At 36.9% G+C, this 27,164-nt stretch overlaps 1 long non-coding RNA gene and 1 pseudogene across 2 annotated transcripts in view, besides 1 other annotated feature; one reads left to right on the top strand and one right to left on the bottom strand.

Moving 5' to 3' along the window:
- EGFEM1P (EGF like and EMI domain containing 1, pseudogene) overlaps positions 1-27,164 on the bottom strand; it is a 581,078-nt pseudogene that overhangs the window by 210,178 nt on the left and 343,736 nt on the right. The window lies entirely within an intron of this gene.
- LOC105374200 (uncharacterized) lies at positions 1,103-10,984 on the top strand. Its single transcript, XR_001741015.2, has 3 exons — positions 1,103-7,108; positions 10,407-10,545; positions 10,772-10,984. It is a non-coding gene; the product is annotated as an uncharacterized LOC105374200 (long non-coding RNA).
- Positions 2,722-3,338: an enhancer, noted in NCBI's record as "H3K4me1 hESC enhancer chr3:168334872-168335488 (GRCh37/hg19 assembly coordinates)". NCBI's record gives its function as "activates a minimal SCP1, AML or CMV promoter by ChIP-STARR-seq in naive H9 embryonic stem cells {active_cell/tissue: H9 hESC(naive)}" and the evidence as "EXISTENCE:reporter gene assay evidence [ECO:0000049][PMID:30033119]".

Here is a 27,164-nt window from a genome sequence, read left to right as displayed (position 1 = left end):
GCTCTCAGTTTTATGTTAATGTTTTTCAATACTCTCACCTTTAGCTGCAGAAATATGGCATACATGAAAGAAAAATGGGGCAAAACCTACTATGCCACCTTCAGAACCAACCCATTACATGTGAAGAACATTCTTTCAATAACTTGAGAACCTTCTTGAACCCCAAGTTTCGCTGCCTTGACACTTTGAGAAGGCTGGAGATGATTGCTAGCCCAGAGAACAATGCTCAAAAGTAGGTTCAGCATGAGGTCATCAGGAGGATGTGTTGGGCTGGGTAACTGTATTTAACTTAGAAGATGAGCAAGGGCAAGAACACCACCATGACCACCTCCAAGGTAGAGAAAAATAACTTTGTTTCCTGAAATAATCTGTTATTTAAAGAGCGAATGAGAACTGGGTGTCTGGATTGGGAGGCAAGGCCTGGCCAATAAAAGCAGTAAACAGAAATTGTTACTCTGTCTAGAAAATAGCACCTAGATTTTAAACCAAACTACTTTGCAAAGCCTGAACTATACAGGGAGGAAGGAAACAAAATCAGATTCCCTATGGCCCTCCTTCAGCCAGCTTTAGTTCTCTTTCACAGTTCCAGCATAATATGGTTTTAAGAGTGAATAGTATTCAACACATGCTTTGCATAAGGACTCATGCTTTCTTTACCATAATCCTGGCAGACTTTAGGGTCTACATGTTTCAAAATGGAAAATGTAGCTCAGTGAAGTTGTCATTTGCTCATGGTCACTGAATTGGTAAGCAGAAATGGCAGAGCTGAAACCCAGTAATTCTTTAGATTCTTAGTGTAATGATATTTTAACTGCACTTACATTTTTTATGCTGTGTATGTATATATTCTTTCATGTTCTCCCAACTGTTTGTTATGTTCTTTATCCTGATCAGTCTGATTTCTCTGATCCTGCTGTCATGGGGTAATTGCTCCTCTCTCAGTCGAAGACACCTAATGATGCATCATTTGCTGATCATGATATTGCAGGCCAAGGTTACGATCAACTACTAAGGGGACTTGCTGGCTTGCTTCCCATAAAGTACAGGGCAGTGTGAACCCTGAGGATCTGAGACAGGTCTCAGTTAATTTAGAAACTTTATTTTGCCAAGGTTGAGGATGTGTGCCCGTGACTCAGCATCAGGAGATCCTGATGACTGACATATGCCCACGGTGGTCAGAGCACAGTTTGGTTTTATACATTTTAGGGAGACATGAGACATTAATCATCATATGTAAGATGAACATTAGTTCAGTCCAGAAAGGCAGGACAACTCCAAGCCAAGGTGGAACAACTAAAAGTGGGGAGGGGGCTTCCAGGTCATACATAGGTAAGAGACAAATAGTTGCATTCTTTTGAGTTTCTGATTAGCCTCTCCAAAGAGGCAATTAGCTATGCATTTATCTCAGTTAGCAGAGGTGTGACTCTGAATAGATCAGGAGGCAGGTTTACCCTAAGCAGTTCCCAGCTTGACTTTCCCTTTAGCTTAGTGATTTTGGGGCCCCAAGATTTATTTTCCTTTCACAAAAAATAGGAATAACAACACAAACAAATCCTCAAAATGAAGAAAGTAAATTGTGATACTGTCACAACAATAGAACTGGAGAAAAGCTGGGGGAGTCTAGCACTGAAGACCAGAAGAGATAAAAGCTGGAGTGTTCAAATTTGAAAGAAATCAGTGAATTTCAGAGAAAGGGAAACCGACATGCACATGATAAAAATTAATTTCCATTTCTTGTTTTATATGTCCCTAAAGTAGCATCAGGGAGGAGAAGCAATTTGGCAAATGTATCTTTTGTGTTTAAACATCAATTTGATTTGTTATAGATACTTGTCTTTCAAATATTACATTTTCCATAACTAGAAAAGACTAGAAAAATAAACTTTCTAAACTGTTTATAAGCTAAATTTTATTTTGACTTTTAAAACAGAAAATTTCAGTAAGAGTAAAGATCCATAATAAAAGGAAAAAATAGACACTGTTCTTAATCTTTCATTAACTAAGACCAGGATCTTTCATAAACATAATTAACTAGAATTGGCATATGATAGATCCAAATGTAAATGATCTTCAGTAAAAAGGAGCAAGTAACCAAGAGAAATGTGACTTAGAACATACACCTACACATATAAACACACACATATAGTATTAATATAGCAGGCTAAAAATAGGAGAAGACACTTGCTTTTTGGAAGCTTGGGAAGTGAAAAGTTCCTTTCACCTTTCACCTGCAGCCTCATCTCCCACATGATAGCCACTATGGATCACGATCCATTGTCTGGTGCCCAAAAGCTAAAAGCCAACTAATTACTGCTGATGGTTGAAGAATTCTATTTGGGCAAAGGAAAGTAGTTGGATTGAGATCATTATCCAGTAGCTCACAACTCTTTAAACTGCTGGTCAACCTGCATGTCTTTGAAACTAAACATCTAAAGCCTTTTATAATTGCAGAGAAAGTTTTGGTATAAAATTCAGCTCCTGCTATGTAGGCAGATTAGTTCACTTCTGCATACATGCTAAGTGCCCATCCTTCCAATCTTCTTCCTCCAGCCCATCTCTTTCTAATACCCATTGACACTGTAAATTCCATTCCTGCTGGAGACAGCTGTGGCTATAAAACTTGACTCATGAAAATATTAGTGAACATTTCTATTTTATCTCTGTGCTTTTCTTCCAGTTTCTTTATGCAAACCAAGAACTGGCTGCTTCCTGCCTTTAAAAAGGGAAACCAAAGAATCTCCCCATTTACCTCTCTTATGGCCCTTGTGAAATATCTGTCACTTGGGAAAGTAAACACATTTACAAAATTTATCATAGGAAATCGAACCATTTGCTGAATCCCAAAATATAAGATATGCCTAAATATTTAATAGTGAATTATCTAGGCTTAGAAGTTAACTGGTTAGGGAATGGACTTTTTAGGATCTCTACTCAGCAATTTGAATTTTTCCCCAAAGTCACTAATTTAATTATTGAAACATACTCATCTTCATTGTGTATAACTCTTGTAGTGAATTGCTCATGTCTTTTCTAAAAACTGGAAATAATGTTGCTTCTTCCTCTGGCAACTTTTTAAAAATTATTTTTCTGTTTCCTGCCTCAGGCTTCATTCCTTATACCCATTACATCTATTTATATCCCCAGTAACTTCCTTTTCAAAGTCCCCTCATGTTGACAGCTATTTCCATACTTTTAAAAATACATTCTTCAAGTTACCAAGTCTCCTTATTGTGAGCCTAATGGCCTTTTCTTCACTGTAATTTACTTTGAATCACGCCAGGTGAAAAAGAAGGCTTCTGAGTTGATGCCAGATTCTTCACATGATACAAATGCTGTCTCTTTGTCTGTATGTTTTCATTCCGCCAAGCCCATTTTTTTCTTGGTTTCCAGACTAATTGTCCTTAAAAGGCATTTGCATCTTATTATTCTCTTGCTCTGTCGATAGCTCTCCCTCTATTATTGCATCAAATCTAAACTCCTTTGCTTGCCTTGCATGGTACTCCAACAGTTTGTGCACAAAGTTACTTGTTGATTGCCAAATTTAAGCAAGATTAACCTGGCAGCTTGCGTGCTGCAGCCATTTCTCATGAAGAATGAGAATATATAAAATATTAAAAGAGATGAAAAATGCCTTATTATATTTCAGTTGTGTTCATTTTTAAACTCAAATTTCAGGTTATCATACATTAGAATTTCAGTCCTGATAAAATACATTACTTAAAGGGGGAGAAAAGGCTTATGGTAGCTGAAAAGTTCATCGCCTCATTTTGCTAAGTTATTTATTATAGGTTTCCCCAGTTGCCTTATTTTTAGAAAAGATTTGTTGGCTAAGAGTGATCAGATGCAAAGCTCAAAACTACGTATACATAAGTTATATGTTATCACATATAACATAGGGAAATGGTTACCATTATGAACTCAATTTATTTGTTAATATTTCATTAATTTCACGTTAGTATTTCTTCCTCAAAGCCTAACCCACAGAGAATTTCATTACCACTACCATTCAGATATCAAATCTCTTTCTAAAACAAAGTAAAGAAAAATCTTTTATAAAAATGGATCTTTAGTTTTATAGACAAAAGAAACTGTGAAAAAGAAGATTAAATCTTCATCAGTTTAACTCACAAAGCAAACGCATAGGGAAATAGCATTATTCAACATTTAAATTGTTTTAAATCAGTCTTGGGAGTTTTTTAGTCTATCCAAGGTAAAGGAATTCTATACCCAGTTATGCTAAATTCCTAAATAGTAGATTCAAGTAAATCCTCCATTGAAAGAAATAAATCACTTCTGTGCTGAGGAAGCTCTATTAAGATACAATCTGAAAGATCTATCGAGACCTGAAGTGAAATACATACATTTTTAAAAGGATAAACATAGGGGGAAATGTCTCTAATGCTTTGTAGTGAATATATCCACCCAAATGTTCCAGAGCTCCCTGATTTATTCTCAAGTAACAACCTTGGCTCTTTAAACATTGTTTATGATGGTCAAATGAGAACATATACAGAGTTTCAATACAAGCTATCTGCCTAGTAGACTTCCTTTTGAGAGTAAAACACTCTTAAAGCATCATTTACTTTCACAAACAGCATATGCACACCATGTGGCACCCATTCTTGTTAACACCAAAGTAGCAGTTTGAGCTTAACAGCTTGGGAGCTCTGTTTATAATAATAGTAATACTCGGTGTCAAGTCCTCAGAGTTTCAGATGTCAAAGGTGATCATGAACATAAATGCAAATTCCCCAAATCTGCTCTCCTGGGAAAACGATTCTTGCCAAGGCCAAAGAAGTCAGTAGACATACAAATACTTGGTCTCCAGCTTCTAATAAGCCCAGGAATTGTCTTTCCAATTTCACTGCATCACCTTCATCTGGTTCTAATGTATACACATGTCTAGTGAATTAGTTCCCCTTGGGGGAAAATTTTGTTGTCTCAAGAGCTTGAGATTTTCAATGAAGTGCCAATGATCTGATACAAATTGTTGAATTTTTTATTATAACTGTTCCCTTCTTTTTATACGAGCCTGTTTACTTTTTGAGCACCCTGAAACCTTCTAGCATTTCAGAATAATGTTTAAAACATTGCATTATTAAGAAACTTTAAAATTACAGCTGTGAAAACAGACCTATGTCATTATAATCAGTGAGAAAGTCCCTTAACTGGGATTTCAGAATATAAAAGGAGCACCTGCAGAGAATTGGCAGGGTGAGAACCAAAGAGAAAAGAGAGAAAGAAACAGGAAAAAAAATTCATCAAGCAAAGAGAATGGGGTGTTTCTATTCTTGACAATCCATTTGAAAAAATGAAAGTGAGTCAGTATTTGAGAAGAAAACTTATTTTATGGGGGAGGGAGGGTATAGTTACTTACTGCATTAGCTTACACAATCATTTACTATATCTATTAAATCACTTATACTTTTCCATTTTAAATAGCTATTAATCTATCTGTTTTACCTATAGACTGTGAGCTCTTCTAGTGTCACAGCGTGTGTGCATCTGACAAACCAGCACCTAGTATATAGTAGATATTCAGTATTTGTAGTTGAATAAATGATAGAGACTAGAAATAATATGGAAAACATATTTTTATCAGACTAAGATACAGAAGTAGGAAAATGTTCAGCGAAGGAAAAATATTCTTCCATATAAGCATTGCATTAATGGAAAAAAGTGTTCAATATGCATTTACATGCTCTGCTAAAACAACCACAAAGAATTAGCAAATTCTGTAACACTCATTTGGGGAACCCTCATGTCTCAGGATAGCCTGTGTGTGTCCCACAGTGTGCAGTTTTTCACTGGTCATTGAATTCCCTGGGTTTTAGGAGTAAAGGAGGCAGATAATAGTATTACTGTTTCTGTGATTTGGTTTTGTAGAATGTTGTCCTGATAAGTGAGGAAGATGAGACAGGCAAAAGTCCTCCTGAAAGCATAGTTCAGATAAGTCCAACTTATCAGGAGAGAGATTTCAAAAAGGAGTTGTTGGACTGACGGACAGAGCAAGTAGTGTCCAATTTCAGTTGAGGCCCAAGCATGACCTCTTATGTCTCTTTGCCTGTCCTGGTTTGTCAAACTTCCCAGTCCTCTCAGAGTTGATAAGGCATCTTCTTCGGTTTCCTCGAGGTGTATAAACGATGGCTGCTCCTCTTACATTCTTCCATGTCTTCCACCATGAAAAACATGACCTCTTTTTAGTTTGTTCCCATTATAACATGGTCATTTATTTTCTTTTCCTTTCCTTTTAATCCAAACTTTTTTGGCTTAAACTTCTCTACTTGCCCATCAACATTTTACTTTTCTACCCACTGGGCTCTGGCTTCCAATGACCTCCTAATTGCCAGATCTATGGACACTTTTAGTACTCATTGTAATGATGTCTCTGTTGCATTTGATACTGTTGATTCCTGCTTCAATCATTATACAAAAACGCTGACAATAACAGGCTAATTATGAGCATTCATATAAGTGCTTAGGAGAACTTTTTAAAAATAGTATGGGTTCTACAAAATGTTCAATATTATTATTATTTTATTCAGTTATCTTTGGTATTCCTTTGTGTCCATCCTTTTGATTGCAGGTGTCCCTCATCTAGTGTCCTCATCACCCACACACTCTTGCTGGATAATTTTATCAGTCTTTTGATTTCAAGAACTATTGTGTTATTACTACCATATATATATATATCTTTAGCCCAGTGCTCTGCTAATCTTTATATTTATATATCTAACTTCCTGCTGTAAATCCCCATCTCGACTGGCAAATGTCTCCTGGGGGTACAGTCGTTCCTTGTTGGAAACCACTAGTTAACTCATACTTGGTTATTTGTATCTTTCCTCAGGTGACTATAGACGTCCTGTGAGCCAACACAATGTCTTCTTCATTCCTATGTTCCTCAGACACAGCACAGAGCCACACGAACGGAAGCATAAAAACAACTTACAATTCTCAATTTAGAAGATCTTACTTTAATGGGAGCTCATATTTATACTCCTCCCAAGACACACACACAATAGTCTCTGTACATACCGTTAAATTTAGTCCTTTTTTCTTTTTCAAAAAGGAAGCATCTGGAATGCTTCAATAACGAAAAAAGTACATGGTAAGTGGATGGTGACTGAAATTTTGAGATAAGGGCATACCGTTAAATTTAGAAATCAGATGAAACTTTCCTTCAGAAAAGATCTGAATAATAATATACTCTATTAAAGGAATGATTTGATGTTTTTAAAAATAATCCAGGGAAACAGAAACTTCTAAAAATTTCACAGCAGCCTAAGACTTGAAAAAAATAATAAAGTGCTAAGGCTGATATGTCTGAAGCCATCATATCTATAGCTCCATGTTACAATGGTAAATGTGCCACAGAAACAAATTTGTCTTGGGAATTTTCACAGCAAAAAATATCACAGTCTGGTGACAGTGAAATGGGAAAGGTTCCCTTGTCCCCCTGGCAGGGCGTGCGATGGGGGAGTGGCTTGCTTCTTCAGTGCCAGGCTGCTCAAACCTCTAGGGAAGCATACATACGGGCAGGTCATGGGGCTTCCACCCCACAGCAGTGTCTAGGAGTGAATGTTTGCAGCTGAAGCCCCAGTGGGCGTGTGTTACAGGGTGCTCTTTTAGTTGGCCATCTATAGGCAGCTTGTGTTAACCAGCTCAATTAGAACCCCTTCCTTATCACAAGGACAGAGGGATTCTGTATCCCGGAGTTTCTTGCCTTGGTTTACCAGAAGAATTGGATCACACATAGGCTTGGAGAATGAGTGCAAAGTTTTATTGAGTGGAAGTAGCTCTCAGCCTGATGGGGAGCCAGAAGGGAGGGGATCTTCACCTGGAGTTGGGCCACTCGGCAGCCCCAGCTCTCCTGGCCAAACTCTGCCTCTTCCAGCACCTTGATGGCCTGGCAGAGTGCCTGTGTTGGTTGGTCAGTGTGCTCTTCTGTCTATGTGCTCCCCTCAACATCCTCTCAATGTCCAGCCGCTTGTCTTCTTCCGCCAATGTGTCCCTCTCACAGTCCAGCAGCTTCTGTCTGCCTTGCTAGGGTCTCAGGTTTTTATAGGCACAGGAGGGGGGCTTGGCGGGTCAGGGTGCTCTGGGAAAATGCAACATTTGGGTTGGAAGGCAGAAGTGCCTGTCTTCACCTAGGCCCATGGGGTTGGAGCCCTAACCAGGGACCACGTCCTCCTCTCCCCAGCACTTCCCTTCCAGCCTTCCATATTATTTAAAGGGACCATGCTCTTCCCTTCCCAGCACTCCAACAGTAGATGGAGTTATAGATCACACCCTCACAAATCTGAGACATAGTTGAGGGGGTGTGGCATGTGTAATACACATTAGCTGGGGCCTTCAAATCTTTTCATGCTTCAAAAACCAGACCAAATCGGCAAATTGCAGAACACATTTAAGTTGTCCTCCTAAGCCACACCCCAGCTGATTGTGAAAGACAAAGGATCTAACTGAAAGCAGATCTTCAAAACAAGGTGATAGAATGGAAATGAGGACCAATACTAAAATAATTTGATGTCAGAATTAAAACATTTATCTTTATGGTGTGAAGCTATTTAAATGGAATATAATTTACTAAGAACACCATCAATTAAAAGATAAAAAGTCTAGAGTCTTAGAACCTCTAGGTTCCAAATGTGATATATTACTAACCTCTGACTTAATAGCCTTATAATTTTGGTTCTTCTCGAACATCTTTCATGATTCTTTCCCTTGCCTCATCCACCCCTTGCCAAAAAACCTTGGTCATACTCCCTTCTTTCTTTTATAAACTTTTCCCTTCTTCCTTTGAGTTCTTTATTTAACAAATATTTATATTCTGAACAACAGGTCATATACTTCACAGGCATTCTAAGAGTCATTAATGGCCTTGACTTCAAGGAATTAATAATGCATTGTTGGAAAAAATAAAGTACAAAATAATCATCAAACCAGGAAGAATGTGAAAGTAGTGTAAAAGGGAAAAATGTGTCCTCTCAGAGGAGGACACCAGGATTCTTAACAAGGAAGGAATCTTAGCTGAGGTGATATATTACAAGTAAAATCTGGATTGGGATAATTCAGGAAAAATGAATCAATCATTTTTTAACTTATGTGAAAGTATAAAATGCAGTGCTTGACTCATGGTATGCATTCAACAAACATGTATTTTTATTTTCTTTCTTTAGGAGTTTTATGGGCTAAATTTTTTCCTCCAAAATTCACATTTTGAAGTCCTAACCCCAGTATTTTAGAACATGACTGTATTTAGAAATACGGCCTTTAAAGAGATAATTAAAACAAAATTAGATGATATGGGTGGGTCCTAACCCAATTTCACTGGTATCCTTATGAGAAAGGGAGAATATGACACAGACAGACAGACAGAGAGGGAGGAACCTATGAAGACACTGACAGAGATGACCATCTATGGGCCAAGGAGAGAGGCCCTTGGAAGAAATCAATCCTCCCAGCAGTTTGATCTTGGACTTCTAGCCTCCAGATCATAAGGAAATAAATTTCTGTTGTTTAAGACACTCCATCTGTGTTAGTTTGTTACGGCACCTCTAGCTCACTAATCCAAGTGAATATAGGCCTAGGAAGGTAACTGGGATCTCTATTAAGAAGCTGGCATTTGGGGACTGGATTTGTTAGTTAATAGGAAGTCAAATGAGATTTTTGAGCCAAAAAAGTCCCAATGACCTAGGTTTAAATGGAAAGATTTGGCTTTTCAGTTTGGAGTGTAATGGTGTGGGAGACAGATTTGGAAGATCACTTTGGAGAGTATTGGATCATTGGATCAGCCTTAGTGCAAAATAGCAGGGACTCAAACTGACTCATTAACAGTGAAAAAGGGATTGAAGTGAAGAGCATTTAACTTGGAAACTGATTATATAATGGAGATCCAGAGAAGTAGAAAGTTCAATGGTACCAAGCGTTTAGGATGGTGGAAACATTAATAGTTAATAAGGATGTTAATATAATTTTCAAAAAGTTAAAAACATGACTCTCCTGCAAATTGAATATGTTAAAGATTTTATTCAACTTATTAACAAACCAGTAAAACACACACACACACACACACACACACACACACACACACACACACACACATAGATAATCAGGAATCCTGAAATAATTTCCTAATATATGCCAAGCTGATTCATATCATGTAAAAGGCAATACAGTGATTTGGATCATCTTTTCCATAGAGGAGAAATCAATTCTGTCTCAATGGGACAAAAGAGGAATCATTTGCATGGCTATCAGTTTTCTAACAACTTAACTTCTAAGCTTTCAGAAATGCTTAGCGCTCCACTGAAAGGATAGACACCCTATAATCTTTTTCACCCATTTCCAATCTTGGACTATTTTTTCTGACAATAAAATACAAGGGAAGTTATTTTTCATTTTAGATATGTTAAATATGCAGTGCCAAAGAAACACTCGGGAGAAAGTCCAGCATGCAATTGGAAATTCAAGGCTGCTCATCAGTGGAGTAGCAAGTCTGAAAACATTTGTCAACTCTGCTTGATCTTTCCACATACCTCATCGGTGAGTTCAGAAAATTGAGACAAAATAATAGGTTGAAATTTGAGGCAACTGTTCAGGACTCTTTACCTTTTCCTCCTCCTTGCTTGTTAACAGTCTGCTTTACTGTGATCCCTGTGTCTAACAGAACTTAAAATCTTAGTTTTGTGTTCTTGACCTGGATTCTCTCTTTTGGCTCCTTGTTCAGCTCCTTTCTGGTAGCTGAACCTCACCTTTTCTCTTTTCCTAGGCTGGCCCCTTGGGCCCAGATTTCAACTGATACTTCTGGCAGAAAATGCTTGTACCAGTCTACGCCTAACAATAAAGAACCCAGTTCCCAACTTCGACATTTGGCTGGTGCTCCGGTGACGCCTGTCCCAAAAGAGAAAAGCCAAAGAAGTAAATCTGAGTTACCTGAACAGAAATTAAAATTTCCCACATAAATAAATCTCATGATTTCCAATTTTCTCTCTTGACTTTAATTTCTGTGGCTCACTGGCATTGAGTCTTTTTTTTTTTCTTTACTATCTGCATCCTGAGTATTTCCCATATGATTTGTAAATGGCTCTAGTAACCTCTAAGTAAACAAAGTGTTCATTCATTCAGCCATTCTTTCACTCATTTATTCACTCATCAAAAATTATGAAGTGCCTTGTATGTGCTAAACATTGTGTTAGGTGCCAGAAGATATATAGATAAATAGAATATATCCTTGTCATCCGAAAAGATAACAATTGAGGGCTATATCGCAATGAACACTTGACCTTTTCTAGTGCATTCCAGGTTTGCACATGTCCGCTCAGAGGCCCTGGACATAAAGGAGCCATCTGTCAAAACAGACTAGACTGTAACCTTGAAGAGCTGGGAAACAGAGCTGAAACTCAGGAGTTCTCCTCAAGTCAAATCCAACCATTACCTTCTGGATTTTGACAAAGTTATAAAGAAACTTTTGTCTAGTAATAAATATTATCCCACAGTCTTACCTCAAATATCTCAGTTTCTACAAGGGAGTGAAGATGGTGAATTAACTGACCTGTAAGCTACTATTTTAGCCCTAAAATTATTCGCTTGCATTGAGATACGAACTTAAATATTACATTCAAAGAAAAATATCAATAGCTTTTGTTTCTCAGAAATGTTGTTGATTTACCAATTCTCTAAAGTGTTCAACTCAAATCTCTTATTTAATAATTTCAAAGCACCTTTAACAAAAATATGTTTATTCTTATTTTACAGAATTTTATTTTATCAAAGATGTGGCAAGCAACATCACAAAATTAACCAGGAAATCAAAGACAAAAAACCAGGAAAAGAGACAAAAGCATAAATGATTCTTCATATTTGATATAAGTTCATTGAAGAAATATAAATTTCTTTTCAATGAAGATAATTGGTGTGTTTCAAATAATATAAAAAAAATTGAAAGCCAGGGTCTCACACTAGTTAGATAGTATTCTGTAGAGAGATAGTATTCTTAAAGAACTAGACTGTTAACTATTGCTCACAAAATTTAAACTTTGGGAGCTCAAAGGCAGTAGAAATGCCCAATAGCTCCTTCATAGTAGACACTTATTTCTTCCAGAGTGTTTCCAATTCAAATATCTTGATGACCAAATTATATTCAAGAAAACCGGGTGACAGCTTCATTTGGAGCATCTCTGCTTCATCTGAGGCTGCTAGAGTAATGGTAGAGCACAGCCTACTGGTGTGCCCCTCTACCACACCACCCTCCCCTCCCTGAAAGAAACATACACACAATATATAACATATGTAAACATTTAACATTAAGTATTATATAATATAAAATATTTAATATATTATATATAAATATATAGTTTATATATACTTTATATTTTATATAAACAATATATTTACTATATATCTTATATATAATGTGGCTTTTGGTTGTTGTACATTTGGGGGCAAGCCAACAAAGGATTTTAGAAAAACAAATTTCTCACCATGGTAAAAAAAAATAGATTAAAAAAATCACCACTAAAACAAAAACACCTTGTTTTGTAACGAACTCTAATATAAAATGCTTTGGGCAGTAGACTCAAAAGTGGAAGAAAACCAAAATGTCCACATTTATTTGGAACAATATCCTTCTGCTTCTTTTTCTATAGGTATCTTTTAACCCTTAAATAGTTACTTATTTTTATAGATGTAATAACATCATATCATCATGGAAACACCACATTTTCAGAATTTTATTTTTTAATGATGTCCAAGTAATGGAGTTACATGGATGTCATTCTGTCCCTTAGCATGCTTGAAGACCTAGTAGGTAGCTTTAAAAAACATACATATATAATGGGGGCAGGGGACACATTTTCAAAATGTACCAAGGTCATTAATGCACCAAATGTAAATGGTCTCCCATTTATCAAATGCCCCAGAGAAATCAGGGGATAATTGAAATGATAGATGAAGAGATGAAATTCTAGGCTAATGGGTTGTATATCAATGAATCAATGTCAGATTTTTGAAAGCTTTTGGAAAATGATTCCTATTCTTTGCTTATTTTTAAAGTTTTAAAGCCTAGGAAGACAAGTAATAGGAGAACTGAAAAGCAATTAAAAAGAGATCCCATCGATCTATCAGAAATATTTCTACTATGATTTTTCTCAGAGTGATTTGCATTTCCCTACATTAATTTTAACAGAATTTATCATTATCTCTACCTTTTTGTGTAATACTTGTGCCGCCTTTCTTTCTCTTTTTGTGTAATCATCAGTTTATAAAATTACCTCACCTGGAGATCAATTCTCCTACTTCTTCCTTCTGACAAAGTTAAAGGAATTTTATGTTAACCATCATTCTAAGCAAACTATCACAAGGACAGAAAACCAAACACTGTATGTTCTCACTCATAGGTGGGCATTGAACAATGAGAACACATGGACACAGGGCGGGGAACATCACACACCGGGGCCTGTCGGGGTGTGGGGGGCTGGGGAAGGGATAGCATTAGGAGAAATACCTAATGTAAATGACCAGTTGATGAGTGCAACAAACCAACATGGCACATGTATACCTGTGTAACAAACCTGCACGTTGTGCACGTGTACCCTAGAACTTAAAGTATAATTTAAAAAAAAAAGAAATAAATAATTTAAAAAAGCTTGGTGAGGAAAACATTTTAAAATAAAATATTTTTTCAATTTGATTAAAAATGGAAACAATTTTATCGACCGTAAAAATCATGGAGACGTATTTAGGGTGGCTTAAAGTTAAACTTCCCAAGAAAAAATGAGACAAATAAGAGCTGAGCATGGTGGCATGCACCTGTAATCACCAGCCCCTCAGGAGCTGGAGGATCACCTTGAGCCCCAGAGTTCAAGTTCAGTCTGGGCAAGGTAGAGAAAACTCTATCTAAAATGAGAAAGAGAGAGGGAGAGAGAGAGAAAATAAGTGGAAACTTACTTTATAGAGCAGGTTATTTACGGTTAAATCAGGCATATGTTCTGTAGAAAACAAATGATGCTCAGAAACAAACGATCTCTGCTCCCAAAAGTGACAAAACAAACAAACAAACAAAACACTAAGATGAAAATCCAAATATTAGATAAGGGCAGATGTGTTAAAATACAAATGTAGGTGAAGCCATTAGCGGGTTTAAGGAAGCCTGCTGGAGATCAATTCTCCTACTTCTTCCTTCTGACAAAGTTAAAGGAATTTTATGTTAACCATCATTCTAAGCAAACTTTCACAAGGACAGAAAACCAAACACCGCATGTTCTCACTCATAGGTGGGAATGGAACAATGAGAACACATGGACGCAGGGCGGGGAGCATCACACACCAGGGCCTGTCAGTGAGTGTATCTTCCTAGGGCAAGTGGAGTTTTCTGTCCATGGAACAAATGTGTGTTTTGACACCTTTAATGAACAATTTAAAAAGGTGCCTATGGTAAGTGGTGTTTCCTCCAAGTCAGGCCCAGATTTTGGGGCTCAGCATGGCTATTAGAGCTGCTCAGGAACTTAAAGAGAAGCACTGATAGGTGGCTGTGGGCACAAGCCATCAGCCTTAGAGGAGGGATTCAGAGGAGGCCAGCAGTCCTAGGACAAGGTCACTATCTTGACAGCTGTTTCTACCAGGAGCAACATGAAAATGATCTTGTTAATCATTTCAATAGGCCAATGGAAATTGCCTCTCTTAGGACTTGTGCCGGGAAGCATGAGCAACCAAAGTCAGCTGAAAGGTCAGTCCGAGGATCCTGGGACTCACAAAAAAAGGGACAGCAAGAAATTCCTGGAAGAACTCTCTCAAAATTAAAAACATTTGGATTCTAAGCTCTGAACAATACTTGGGAATCTGAAATCCTGGGCACAACTCCCCAAATAAATTCTCTGAAATAACTTTAGCTTCTTCTATGCATTCCAGTTGTTAAAATATTGATATATTTTTATACTGACTGGAAAATAGTCTCTGTCCTGAGATCCCTGAGTAGCACCCACCTTCAGGGCTGCTCTCACCCGCTGTCCAGGACTTCCCAGACCTCTCCCAGTCCACCTTTGGCATGTTAATGCCTAGTAGCAGACAACCTTGAAGACACTGGCAGCTCTGGCACCTACTCTGAATTTGTGGATTTTCTGTGCTGTATGGGATATTAAATACTTTTAATATCACTTATGCGTAAATCTAACACTTAAAATGAAACACTGTTCTTTTTTTTTCCATTCCATCTTCACCATAACAGTCCTTCCTTTCATACTAGTTTTCCATACACTTCACAAAAATATAAGCTTTCCTCACCCCCCACCATCACCCTTATCTATAATGCTAACAAAATGGAATATTAACATTACTGTTTGGCATTGAATTCAAAGCTTCAATTATTGTTTCCAATTCCAGTGGCCCTTTCTGAGATTGGCACAGCATGAGATAAAGGGAATATGAGATGTGACTATAACGTGATGAAACTGATTGTCACATGTGGCTTGTGGGATTTCTCAGATTACTTTTTAGTCATGTTTTGTATTAGTCAGTGGGTAAAAACTAGCTTTCTGGGCAAAAAGATTTCCTACATCCCCCAAATAAAATATACATTCTCTTTGTCACATTCGTGAGGGCTCTTTCCATAGGAAAATTTAGTATCTCTAGAGAACTCCAGAGCCTTACTCGTCATTTTTTCTTTTGCACTGTTAATCCACCACTATCTTAAAATATTTTGCTCTAAGAGCAGGATATTTTACCTGGCATAATAGAATACTATCAATGTCTCTAGTGGTCAGCAAATACAAAATGACAAAAATAGCAGAATCACACTAAATACAGTTTTTATGAGGGCAGAATTTTTAAAGGCCAAACAAATTATACTGAGTGCCTTGTTCCTGTGGCCATCAGTTGATCCGTAACTCCAGACAGTGGCCATGAAGTACATTAAGAACAAGGCAAAAAACCCAACAAGAGATTCTGCATGGATACTTCAACATAACCATTTACCCCAAGGTTTTTTTATTGGGATGCACTTTTTGCCTTTCTTCTGCTTAGCTTAGAAATGAATGGTATAGTGTTTTGGGGTGTGTTTGAGAGGATGCTGAGTGCTTCCTGAAAGTTTATCACAAAATTTTGTTAATGGCACAGACAAAGGAAGACAGGAGGTTTGTGTTTGAGTTTCACTTTACTGTTTGAACAAAAACCCAGTATCCTAAGAAAGTAAAATCTGGTGTTTTTATGCTGTTGATCCAACCTCTTCAAAGTAATTTCCCCTAATGCAAATTGTCCATGTATAGTTAGAAATTAGAATCAAGGTAAGAACTACTGCAGGCAGCTACTTAATCCTGGTGTGTTTATGTAGATATATACTATATCCACATGAAGAAAATTAGGTGATCTTCATAATGATGTGTTAGAGATATTTCAAATATTTTTCCTCTGATTTACATAGAAAAAATAACATTTGAGCATAAAACACTATATATTTTTTGTCTTACCAATATGAGGTCATACTGTACCTTCTCTTTTATGAACTACTTTATGTTTTAACTTAATAATATTCTATGAATATTTTCAGGTTATTGACATTCTAAAATCAGTTTTAATAATTGTTATGTAATGCTTGGTTTTTAGAGAGAGTTTCCTCTTTATGAAGCTTAGTTTATTTTTACACTATTACCAATAATATTACTATTAACATCCTTCTAGTTATTTAATAAATATTTGTGCTAATAATTCATGCCTATAGTATGACTCCATAATGTTGCTGAAAACTATCTTGCACAACTGAAGCTACCCTGTCATTTGTACGGCAGTCTAAAGTTTCTGTCTACAAAGGAGACATTGAAAGCATATTCTGAAATTGGTACAATAGTGATTTTAATGTTTTTCTCTACTTGGAGAGTTATTTCAAAATATCTGCCATGTATACCCTGAATTAGACATGAATATCACAATATTTTGCATTTTTAAGAAGTATTTTGATTTTTAGATTTCAAACTGGTTCTTTTGACGAGAGAGAGTGTAGTGTACTCTCTGTAAAATTTAAATCCTGGATAGTACAACACAAATCACAGGGGATGATCAATTATTCAATAAATTTTATTTTAATAAATATTTAGTAATTTGAGGGAAAACCCATTTAGAGCCTCACCTCACATCATTTACCAAAACAGATTTGGCTGGACTATACTTAAATATTTTTTTAAAACAAACTATTGAAAAACTGAAGTTGGATATTCATCAAATCTCTGAAGAGAAGAAGAGTTTTTATAATTACTGTAGAAGAGAAAAATCACAAAGAGGACAAGCAATGACACTGTGCTCATAAATTGTTTTTTAAGCTTTTGCATGTTATAAAAACATAGATAAAATGAAAGAATGAACTGTAATGTTTGAAAATATGTAAAAATAACAGATTGCCATCCTTGTTAAAGAGAACACAATTATTAATGGGAGAATAACTAAGAACAATCTAGAAAGGGGTAATTTAAATCCATAAAAGTTGGCAATTTCCAACTAGTCAATATTTTAAAAACATCATCCTTATTAGAAATCAAACAAAAGCAAATTAATACTATGATTGTGTAGCATGTTTTTACCCTATAAAATGTGAGTTAATTTAAAATATAAGTTAAGGGACAATGAAGCCAGCTTTTTTTTGTCAGGTATCGCTAATAGAGGTAAAATATGTATCTAGGCCAGGCTTGGTGGCTCATGCCTGCAATCCCAGCACTTTGAGAGGCCAAGGTGGGCGGATCATGAGGTCAGGAGATCGAGACCATCCTGGCTAATATGGTGAAACCCCATATCTACTAAAAATACAAAAAATTAGCCAGGCGTGGTGGCGGGCACCTGTAGTCCCAGCTACATGGGAGGCTGAGGCAGGAGAATGGCGTGAACCTGGGAGGCGGAGCTTGCAGTTAGCCGAGATTGTGCCACTGCACTGCAGCCTGGGCAACAGAGGGAGACTCTGTCTCAGAAAAAAAAAAAAAAAAAAAAAAGTGTCTAATGTATTGGAAAGAAATATGTCAATATGAATCAAATGCTGTAAGAAACATACATACCATCTATTAATTGAAAAATTAATAACAACACAAATAGCTTGCTTTTAGTTTAAGTTTGAGGTAGCAGACACTATACATAGGCATCATTGACTCCATCATATGCCAATGTCAAACTATTCACAAGAATTTTTACTGTTAAGGCCAAAAAATGATACCAGATCCTATCTCAGCACAACATTCAGGAAAGCCACATCCAATCCATCAATATTGTATAAACTTGCGTACACTAATGTTGAATGATGTTTCAGAAACTATGAAATCTCACACATATGCATGTATATGAATATAAAATCACATTACATGAAAACAAACATGTTTCTGTATTTGTCTAGAAAAGTGTGCCTAGCACACAGCATATAGCACTCACACAATAAGTACTTGTTGTGTGAGTGAAATATAAATATATAACAATATATAGAACTCCCCTCACCCAAAAAAAAAGAGTCAGGAAAGAAATGCAACAAAATGTCAATGCGTTTGTTTTCTGGGATTATGGGTAACTATTTTTCATGTTCCTAATGTCCTTACATATATATTTTTTACTTAAATGGATTTAAGTAAAATTATGATTACAATAAATATATATTTTAGACTCTGTCCTACCACAGTTTGAACACTTCCAGGTTGTTCTATTTAACACTGTGGTTAGTTCTAATCCTGAGAATGCTCCTTACGGAAGCATAGGAAAGGTCATTTTATGACATTATTTAGGAGGGAGGAAAAAAGCAAAGATTTCTGGAAGGAACTCATGGAAGAGATGGTGCTTAAGAGATGGATTTACACAATATTCTCCTAATAGTTGTACTGATATGCAATGACCTACCTAGAACACTTAAGCATCAAAGCCCAGAGATGGAAATGCATCAACATCTGGGATCAATGACAGATTTGCTGAAGTTTGTCCAGTATATTTGGTGGAAATCCAGATTGAGAAGGCTCCACTAAATTTGATGAGTGCATGAGAAACCATCGGGAGCATCTGAGCTGGGGAGCTGCATGAGCTCAATGCCAATGCGTTTGATAGTATTCTCACCTCCACTCAGAAGTTGCCTTCAGGTTGCTCTTTGAAGGGCTTTAAACGATAATTGACTTCTATTTTATTCCATTGGTACTCCTCTCTTTGCCATGTAACAACCTGGTTATTCTGAACTGATATGTCAATAAGTTTCCCCTTTCACATAACAAGCACATTTTCATGAAGGCCTTCTGGGAATAATATCTAACTCAAGAAGAACAGAGGGATTTTATGTGCTAGCTTTGATGGATTGGATGTGGCTTTCCTAAACGTTGTGCTGAGACAGGATCTGGTATCATTTTTAGTCTTAACAGTAAAAATTCTGTGAATAGTTTGACATTGGCATAGGATGGAGTCAATGATAGCATATGCATAGTGTCTGCCATCCCAACCTTAACCCAAAAACAAGACAATTACTGCAGACAACAGAGGAGAAACACCACACACAACAAATCACATCATGTATGTAACTGACAGTGGGCTGGTAACACACAACAGCTACCAAGCAAATAGGAATGGCATATATGCTTGGAAAAGATTAAAAAAAAAAAAAAAAGCAAATCCCAGATATTCAAAATCCTTCACAGCAGTCTCTCAACATTCATCCCTGGGCTGGTGCTGATCTGTGACCAAGTTTTTGCATGCATTTGCACCATAATGGAAAAAAAAATGAAAAAATATGATTTTTTTTCATAAAGTTTAACTTTTCCTCAACTGAAAGACTTTTAATTTTAAAATTGTATGGCTAATTCTTTTGAGTACTAAAATGACCTTCTATATAAAATGATGGTAAACACGGATGAAATTTTTCCAGTACATTCACATATTTGTTTCCTTGTTAAAAAAAAAAAAAGGTGGAGTCTTGTAAAATCTAAAAGTCTCAGAAACTCTTCTCTAGTGTAAAGTTGTCCAGATGGCCTATCAGAGTTTGCATTTTTACATAATATCACATTTTTAACTATGAAAACAGAAGATAAATCTTTCCGCTATCTCCTCTTTATTAGAAAAAATACTGAACATAATTTCCTTCTTCTTGAAAACTCAGAGGCCACTGTTATGCTCCTTTATTGTACCCTAGTGTAAAGATAAGAAACTTCTTATGTCTATTTTAAATGAACCCAGGCTACCCTATGTCTTGAATTCTTCTGCAGGATTATTCTCCTAATTTTACGTTCTTATCCTTTAGTTTTATCAACTATGAATGCATCAGGTTGGAGCTGGTAGCAGTTCCTTTGCTCTGGCTTCTTCCTCTCCCTGCCACAATTTTGTTGAAAACTGGGCAACACACTTGATGGATGAGAACAAAGTTCAGAATTTTAAGTATCTGACCACTGAAACATCTAATTTTGTTTGGGAGGCAATTACTGGAGACAGAATCTATTGACAACCATTCCCATCCCCTGTCTGCTTTTTTTTTTTTTTTTTTTTTTTTGACGGAGTCTTGCTCTGTCACCCAGGCTGGAGTGCAGTGGCAGGATCTTGGCTCACTGCAAGCTCCGCCTCCCGGGTTCACACCATTCTCCTGCCTCAGCCTCCCAAGTAGCTGAGACTGTAGGCGCCTGTCACCATGCCCAGCTAATTTTGTTTTTGTATTTTTAGTAGAGACTGGGTTTCACCGTGTTAGCCAGGATGGTCTAGATCTCCTGACCTCGTGATCCGCCCACCTTGGCCTCCCAAAGTGCTGGGATTACAGGCGTGAGCCACCATGCCCAGACCCCTGTCTGCTTTTTTACTCTACAGAGCCCTGAAAGGTTTTTTTGCAGCTAGCAGTGGCCATGTGAAATGGTGCCAACTTATGGAATCTAAACAGAAGTCTTTATAAGATTTCTGGGGACATTTCCTAAGACAGGCATTGGGCCATCCTCCTTCCTGCTTCATCTTTAGTAGATATAGATGTGATGTGTGGAGGTGCATAAACCATTTTGAAATCATAGATGAAAAGTATGATATGAAATGAACATTCTATGGATCCTGGAGTGGGAAAATTAAAAGAGCCTGGGCACCTGGAGGCATTTTTGAGTCATTTTGCCAGCCCTGCATGTGTACTTCCCACAAAACCACTTGGAATGGGAAACAAATAAACTGCTAATTGTTTAAGCTTCTCCTGGTTATTTGCAGTTAAACATATTCTATACCATACCTCAGTATACCCCATTTCTCTACATGTAGGTTCCATTGAATTTGTTCTACCTTTAAATATTCCCCAAGGAGATTTCAGAATTACAAAATACAGCCAAGGTCACTTCCAAATTGCTGAAGAAAGTTTCATATGAACAGAGGGAAAATGTATAACCAAAGTACATTAGTAACTTGTACCTCAATTTTCTTTGGAAGAATGAAAAGGATATATAATATAAGGAAATATTCCGAAGGACACAAGCCGAGAGAGAGAGAGAAAGGGCCTTGTGTTACTATAAAATGATTCATTCCTGTTCTTTTACTGTTTCAACAGTCAAACCAACAAATACACCTTCTGATGTCAAATTTATTGTGGATATATTTTGAAAATTTCTTCTCTGGTGCATCTTTAAATAACAAGTCATATACTATGGAAAAAAGTTGTCAGTAATTATCAAAAAGCTCAGAGGCACTTGTTCAGCAGCCAAGAATGAGAAATTCAAGCAAACGGCAGAGAGCTTCATAATGGATTTAATAACTAACAATTTGGTGCAAATCGAAATCAAACGTCCCATCTACAGGATGTTTATCATTGATTTTTCTCCTTTCATTTCAATAAGATGTTAAAAAGTCTGTGTTAAATAACTTTAGACAGCGAAGAGCTCATCTGCGTTGATTTTTTTTAAAAAGAGCTCATGTGAATAAAATAAAACAGAAATGTTTGTGTCAGCTTCTCTTCATTTTTCAATTTATTACCTGATGACTCATGGAGAGCACCAAAAGCAGAGTGCTGTGATCCATGAATGTAGATTTCACAAATAATTGAAAGTGTACACTAACATTTCCCCATTCTAACAGTGAAGGCCTAGGCCATCTTTAGCCTTTTGGAGGAATTCTTTTACTCCTCAGAGGAAAGCTGCCTGCATTGGGTGAAAAGATGGAACCTGCATATCCTGAGTAAAATTAAGAATCTAGCTCATTCAGAAGTCAAACTTAGAAGCAGAAAGAAAGTTTTAAAATATTAGAAAATAGAGGGAAGAAAACCCAGACATAAATCTGTCAGCCTATTAAAAACATAATTACTATACACATTTTATGTATTTTTAATGGTAAAATTTTCCTTTGCTTCTTTTACAAGTGCATTGTGTGTATGTAATTATATATTCTGGTTTTTTAACTGACTTTTTGTAAGGAATTTCATGTTGTCACAGTCATTATGATCATCATTTTAAGAGACTATATTATAATTCATATTTAGTATAGTACAATTTTCTTACTTTTCTTTGGGCATTTAAGTTGTTTCTAATACCATAATATGTTGTTTAAAATGCTACACTAAAAAATTATCATGTTCTCTATTTTAGATTCTTTCTTTAGGATATATTTTCCAAGGTGAGATTACTGGGTTAAAGGGTATGAAGACTTTCATGACACATTATACGCACTGCCAACTTGTTTTATAAAATGGTTGTAAAAATCATGCTCCACCAGAAATACATGAAAACTATTTGTTAAGAATTTATACTGACAGAGGGAATATGACATTCCAGGCTGAAGTAGGTGGGAGCCACTTAAATATCTATTTCTACAATAATATTTCTTTTCCACAGAGTATTCCTAGGAATACTCATTTCTATTGTTGCTTTCTGAAGACGATGTTGGTGATCAAATATTATGAAAGCACATATTCACTGTCTTAGTCCATTTGGGCTACTATAACAAAATGCCATAAACTGGGTAGCTTATAAGAACAGATATTTATTTCTCACAATTCTGGAAGCTGGGAAGTCCCAGATCAAGCAACCAGCTTGTTTTCTGATTCATAAATGGTGCCTTCTTGCTGTGTAAGAGGGTCATGGCAGCTCCTAGGACCTCTTTTACTAGGGCATTAATTCCATTAATGAGGGCAGAACCCTAATCACCCAACCACCTCCTAAAAGACCCCATCTCTTAATACTAACAATTTGGGGATTAGGATTTCAACATATGAATCTGGGGAGGACACAAACATTTAGACCATAGCACTCACTAACCTGTCTCTAAGATATTCCCTTTACACAGTAATATATTCAAAGTTCTGGGATATGCTGCCAGAAAGACAATTCTTTAGCCACTTTTCCCGAACATACCTCCCACTTAGTGTCCCTGCCTTTTGATGGCACCTGCTCTCATCTTACTTTGTAAATATGCTCTAACAAACATAAGAAAAGGATAATGTGCACATTCTATGCAGTTGTTAGTTAGGCACACAATAATCCCTCCCCATGCCCAAATCTGAATCAATTCCAGAAATTTCCTGCTGCAAAATGATGGCAGGAATAGCCTAAGGCCAAGTGCCTAGATATTAGATCTGGATTAGCCCAAACCTAGTCTGTATGGCCCCAAGGTTTAAGATTCCCTCAAGAATTTGGGGAGGGCTAGAAAGAGAAGAAGTATATAGTTATCTCTAGCCAGCTGAGGTTCTGCTTACAAGAAGAATTCTTCTCTTTTTCTTCCCTCATTTTTTCTCTGATTTGTTTAAACCATTCCTGGTTTATGTGATTCTTCTTTTGTAATGAAGCTGCTGTTGTATCACAAATAAGGGCGGAACCATAGGAAAAGGAGAAGTGCTAGTGTAACAGCAACTTTGATAGAATATTCCACATTAACCACTTGCCACAGGGTAGAGTAACAGTCAATAGCACCACTTGCTATTAATAGTAGTATCAACTACACTTATTCCAGGTTAAGAAAAGGTTTAAACCATTTCCTTAAAAGATAAGTTGGCAGTTTCTCTGAATTTTAATTCCATTTGGTATTACCCCACTAACAACAGATAAAAACCACTTCAGGTAGTAATCTTAAATCACTTGTTAACAAGGTGTCCTTGAGGTTTACAACACTAACTGACAGAGGCACTTAATAAAAGTTTGGCAACTAAATGAACTACAATGAACAAAGATAAACAGATCAAGTCTTAGGCCTCTAGAGCAGAAAATAGAAATGGCAGCAGGAACAGAACTAAAGCAACAGAACTGAGCTCACACAGAAGAACAATAGAAACTAAATAAGTTAAACTATTGATATCATCTATAAGTTTGATAATTTGTTCTAGGCGAGAACATGAAACTCTGATATGTGAATAGGATTCAAATCTAACATGAAGATTTACTGGAGTATCAGAGATATATGTGAATAGCACTCAAATCTAACATGAAGATTTACTGGAGTATCAGAGAGATGCAGTCAAAAATATTATTTGGCAACATAAATCTAAAAACCTGTCAACTTTATCATGTCACTCTCTAATAAATGATCTAGTTGAAAAAAAGAATAAAAGAACACAGCTCAAATTCAACAGCAATATTATCGATGTGGTTAAAACTGTGGACTCAGAATCCGGAAAGATTTGGATTCAAGTCCTGATCCTATCATTTACACACTTCCAGGCTTTGAGGAGGACACTTATTTGCTATAGCATACAGTTTTTTCATATGTAAAATATTACCTCAAAGAGTCATTGAGATAATGAAGCATTTAGCACAATGCCTAGGTCGTAATAAATATTCTATAACTATTAACTATTAGTAAAGTATTAACGGATTTTATTTGTGAGCCTCAGTGACAAAATACAGGACCAACTTGGACTGAGACCCACCTTAATTAATAGCTACAGAAAAGAACTGCTGAATTACATTTTGGGCTGAAGCCCAGAGAGACTGAGTGGTTTTCTGAACTGCTGGAACCCAAGAATTTCAATTCTTAATCTGTGTTCTCTTGACATGACCCAGCACTCCTGTGCCTCTGGGTGTTGCAACTGTGCTAGACCTGACTTCTAATGATAGGAGAAATTTCATCAATGTCATCTCAGAGCCATACTTAAGACAGCAAGGCTGGATCACCAATATATAATAAAATCTTTAATGAAATCAGTCCTCCAGGATTAAAGTGCTATTTCCCAATTTTCTCACACCAGACTTAAGTTGGGAAGGGACTACCACACAACATCAAAGGAAAAGTTGGTGTAATGAGCTGATAAGGGATGTACACCCAGAGAAATGGCAGTGCCTTACTGAAAAGACTTCTTACACTTTTCTATTTGATTACCAAAACTTGGTGGCTATGATACAAAAATTAAAGCAGTTCTCACTCTGTATTAGATAAATTTCCTTTATGGGTATTTTCCCTTTGCTTTTTTTTTTTTTTTTTAAAGGAAGGAATAAACTAAGGCTATATTCTTAGAGTTCTAAATCATTAAACATATAACACAGTATCAGACCTTCTTTCCTCCACGTGACTCTTGGAATAAAGTCATTAAGTCAAGATAAAACATCCTGTTTCAAGGATAACAGTCTTGGGGAAGGACCCAGTGAAAAGTTGGCTCTACCCAACACCACCAAAGTCTGGAGATGTGCCTTATAAAAAGTCTATGTCCTGTTTCCTGAAATGCCATAGGTAATATTACATTTCTGCCATTAATGTTATGACCTGGGGTCCAAACCTACTGTTTATTCCATTTCTCCTATAAATATAGAAAATTAGATGCAAAGAGCTGAGCAGTGATACAGGAGGAGTCAATTTCATTATATTCTATTCAACCACATTCATCCACAGTACTCAAATATTATGAGAGGAGACCTGGTGCCAGGAGTACAGGAATGGGGAGCCAGTGATTGGAATCTTCTTAATCTTACTCTTTTGCCCATCAACCAAAAAAAATTGTTTTCTTTTTAAAACATTCACCATTAAAGAATGTTTAATGGAGTCAAACCATATGTGAAGGCTGGAAAAACTGTAATAGACTGTAATCTTTGACATTTTCCACATAAGTCATTCTGCAACATCTGTTCACTGTGGGAATTCCCAAGATGTCAATAATTAAAAATGAGTTCCATATATGAGACTGAAAGGCAGACAGATAGAAAGAGGAGATAAATCAGATATGTAATACCCAAATAAGGATTGTTCTTACTGATCAAAACATGGGAAAATGGAACATTGAGAGAATCTCAAGCTGAAAGGCTACAAGGCCTTGGCCATAATATGTATGACAAGTTGATGGGCAACTTTTCCTGTTGTCCTGGAATCTATGACAAACCCCAAATGCTGAGGCCAAATAGACATCAAGTATTCTGTGTTCTAGAAAGACCTGCCAACGATGAGGGCCAGAGCTTATTAAAAGGGTGTCATGTTAGCACTGCTACACTGGTCATCCCAATCTGTATAACCAGAAGGCTAAGGCTAGAGTGAAGTAGCCTGCATTTCTACCATTTTATAGGGCAATACTGTGGGAGCTGAGAGACTTCCAGAAAATAGCATCCTGGCTGTCTTGTCAGTGCCTCCCCAACACTGCGGGCTGGCAGTTGAGAGAATCCCATCCATAGAGTTCACCACTTAGCAGGAATTAAGGGAAATGTGAGGGTCAAAATTGTCTAGCAGAAGCCAGAATCTATGTCAAGGAACTATGCTTTGAGGAATTCTCACAGTAATCTCCAAAATACATGAAAAGCCAGGGGAGGGGCTCCTACCACATAATTCCTGCTTCTCCTACTACTAACTATGGTGTCCATCATATCTATGTGGCAGAAGCCCCAAATCTGGCCTCCTCATAGGACTCTTGCCTTTTTCCCACAGGTTCTAAATGTCTATCTCAGTACCAGAAGAATCTCAACTTCAAAGAGGATTGAAAGAGAACTCACTTTCTTCTTCATTTAATTAAACTAATTCATTACTTTATTTTTGAGATGGAGTCTCACTCTGTCGCCCAGGCTGGAGTGAAGTGGCATGATCTCGGTTCCTGGGTTCAAGCGATTCTCCTGCCTCAGCCTCCTGAGTAGCTGGGATTACAGGTGTGTGCCACCATGCCCAGACAATTTTTGAATTTTTAGTAAAGACGGGGCTTCGCCAAGTTGGCCAGGGTGGTCTCGAACTCCTGACCTCAGGTGATCCACCGGCCTCGGTCCCCCAAAGTGCTGGGATTATAGGCATGAGCCACTGCACCAGGCCTCACTTTCTTCTTTAAA

This window comes from Homo sapiens, chromosome 3 (genome assembly GCF_000001405.40).
Source record: "Homo sapiens chromosome 3, GRCh38.p14 Primary Assembly".
Taxonomy (NCBI): Eukaryota; Metazoa; Chordata; class Mammalia; order Primates; family Hominidae; genus Homo; species Homo sapiens.
The sequence above is the reverse complement of the archived record's forward strand: the minus strand, read 5'-3'. Positions and strand labels throughout refer to the sequence as shown.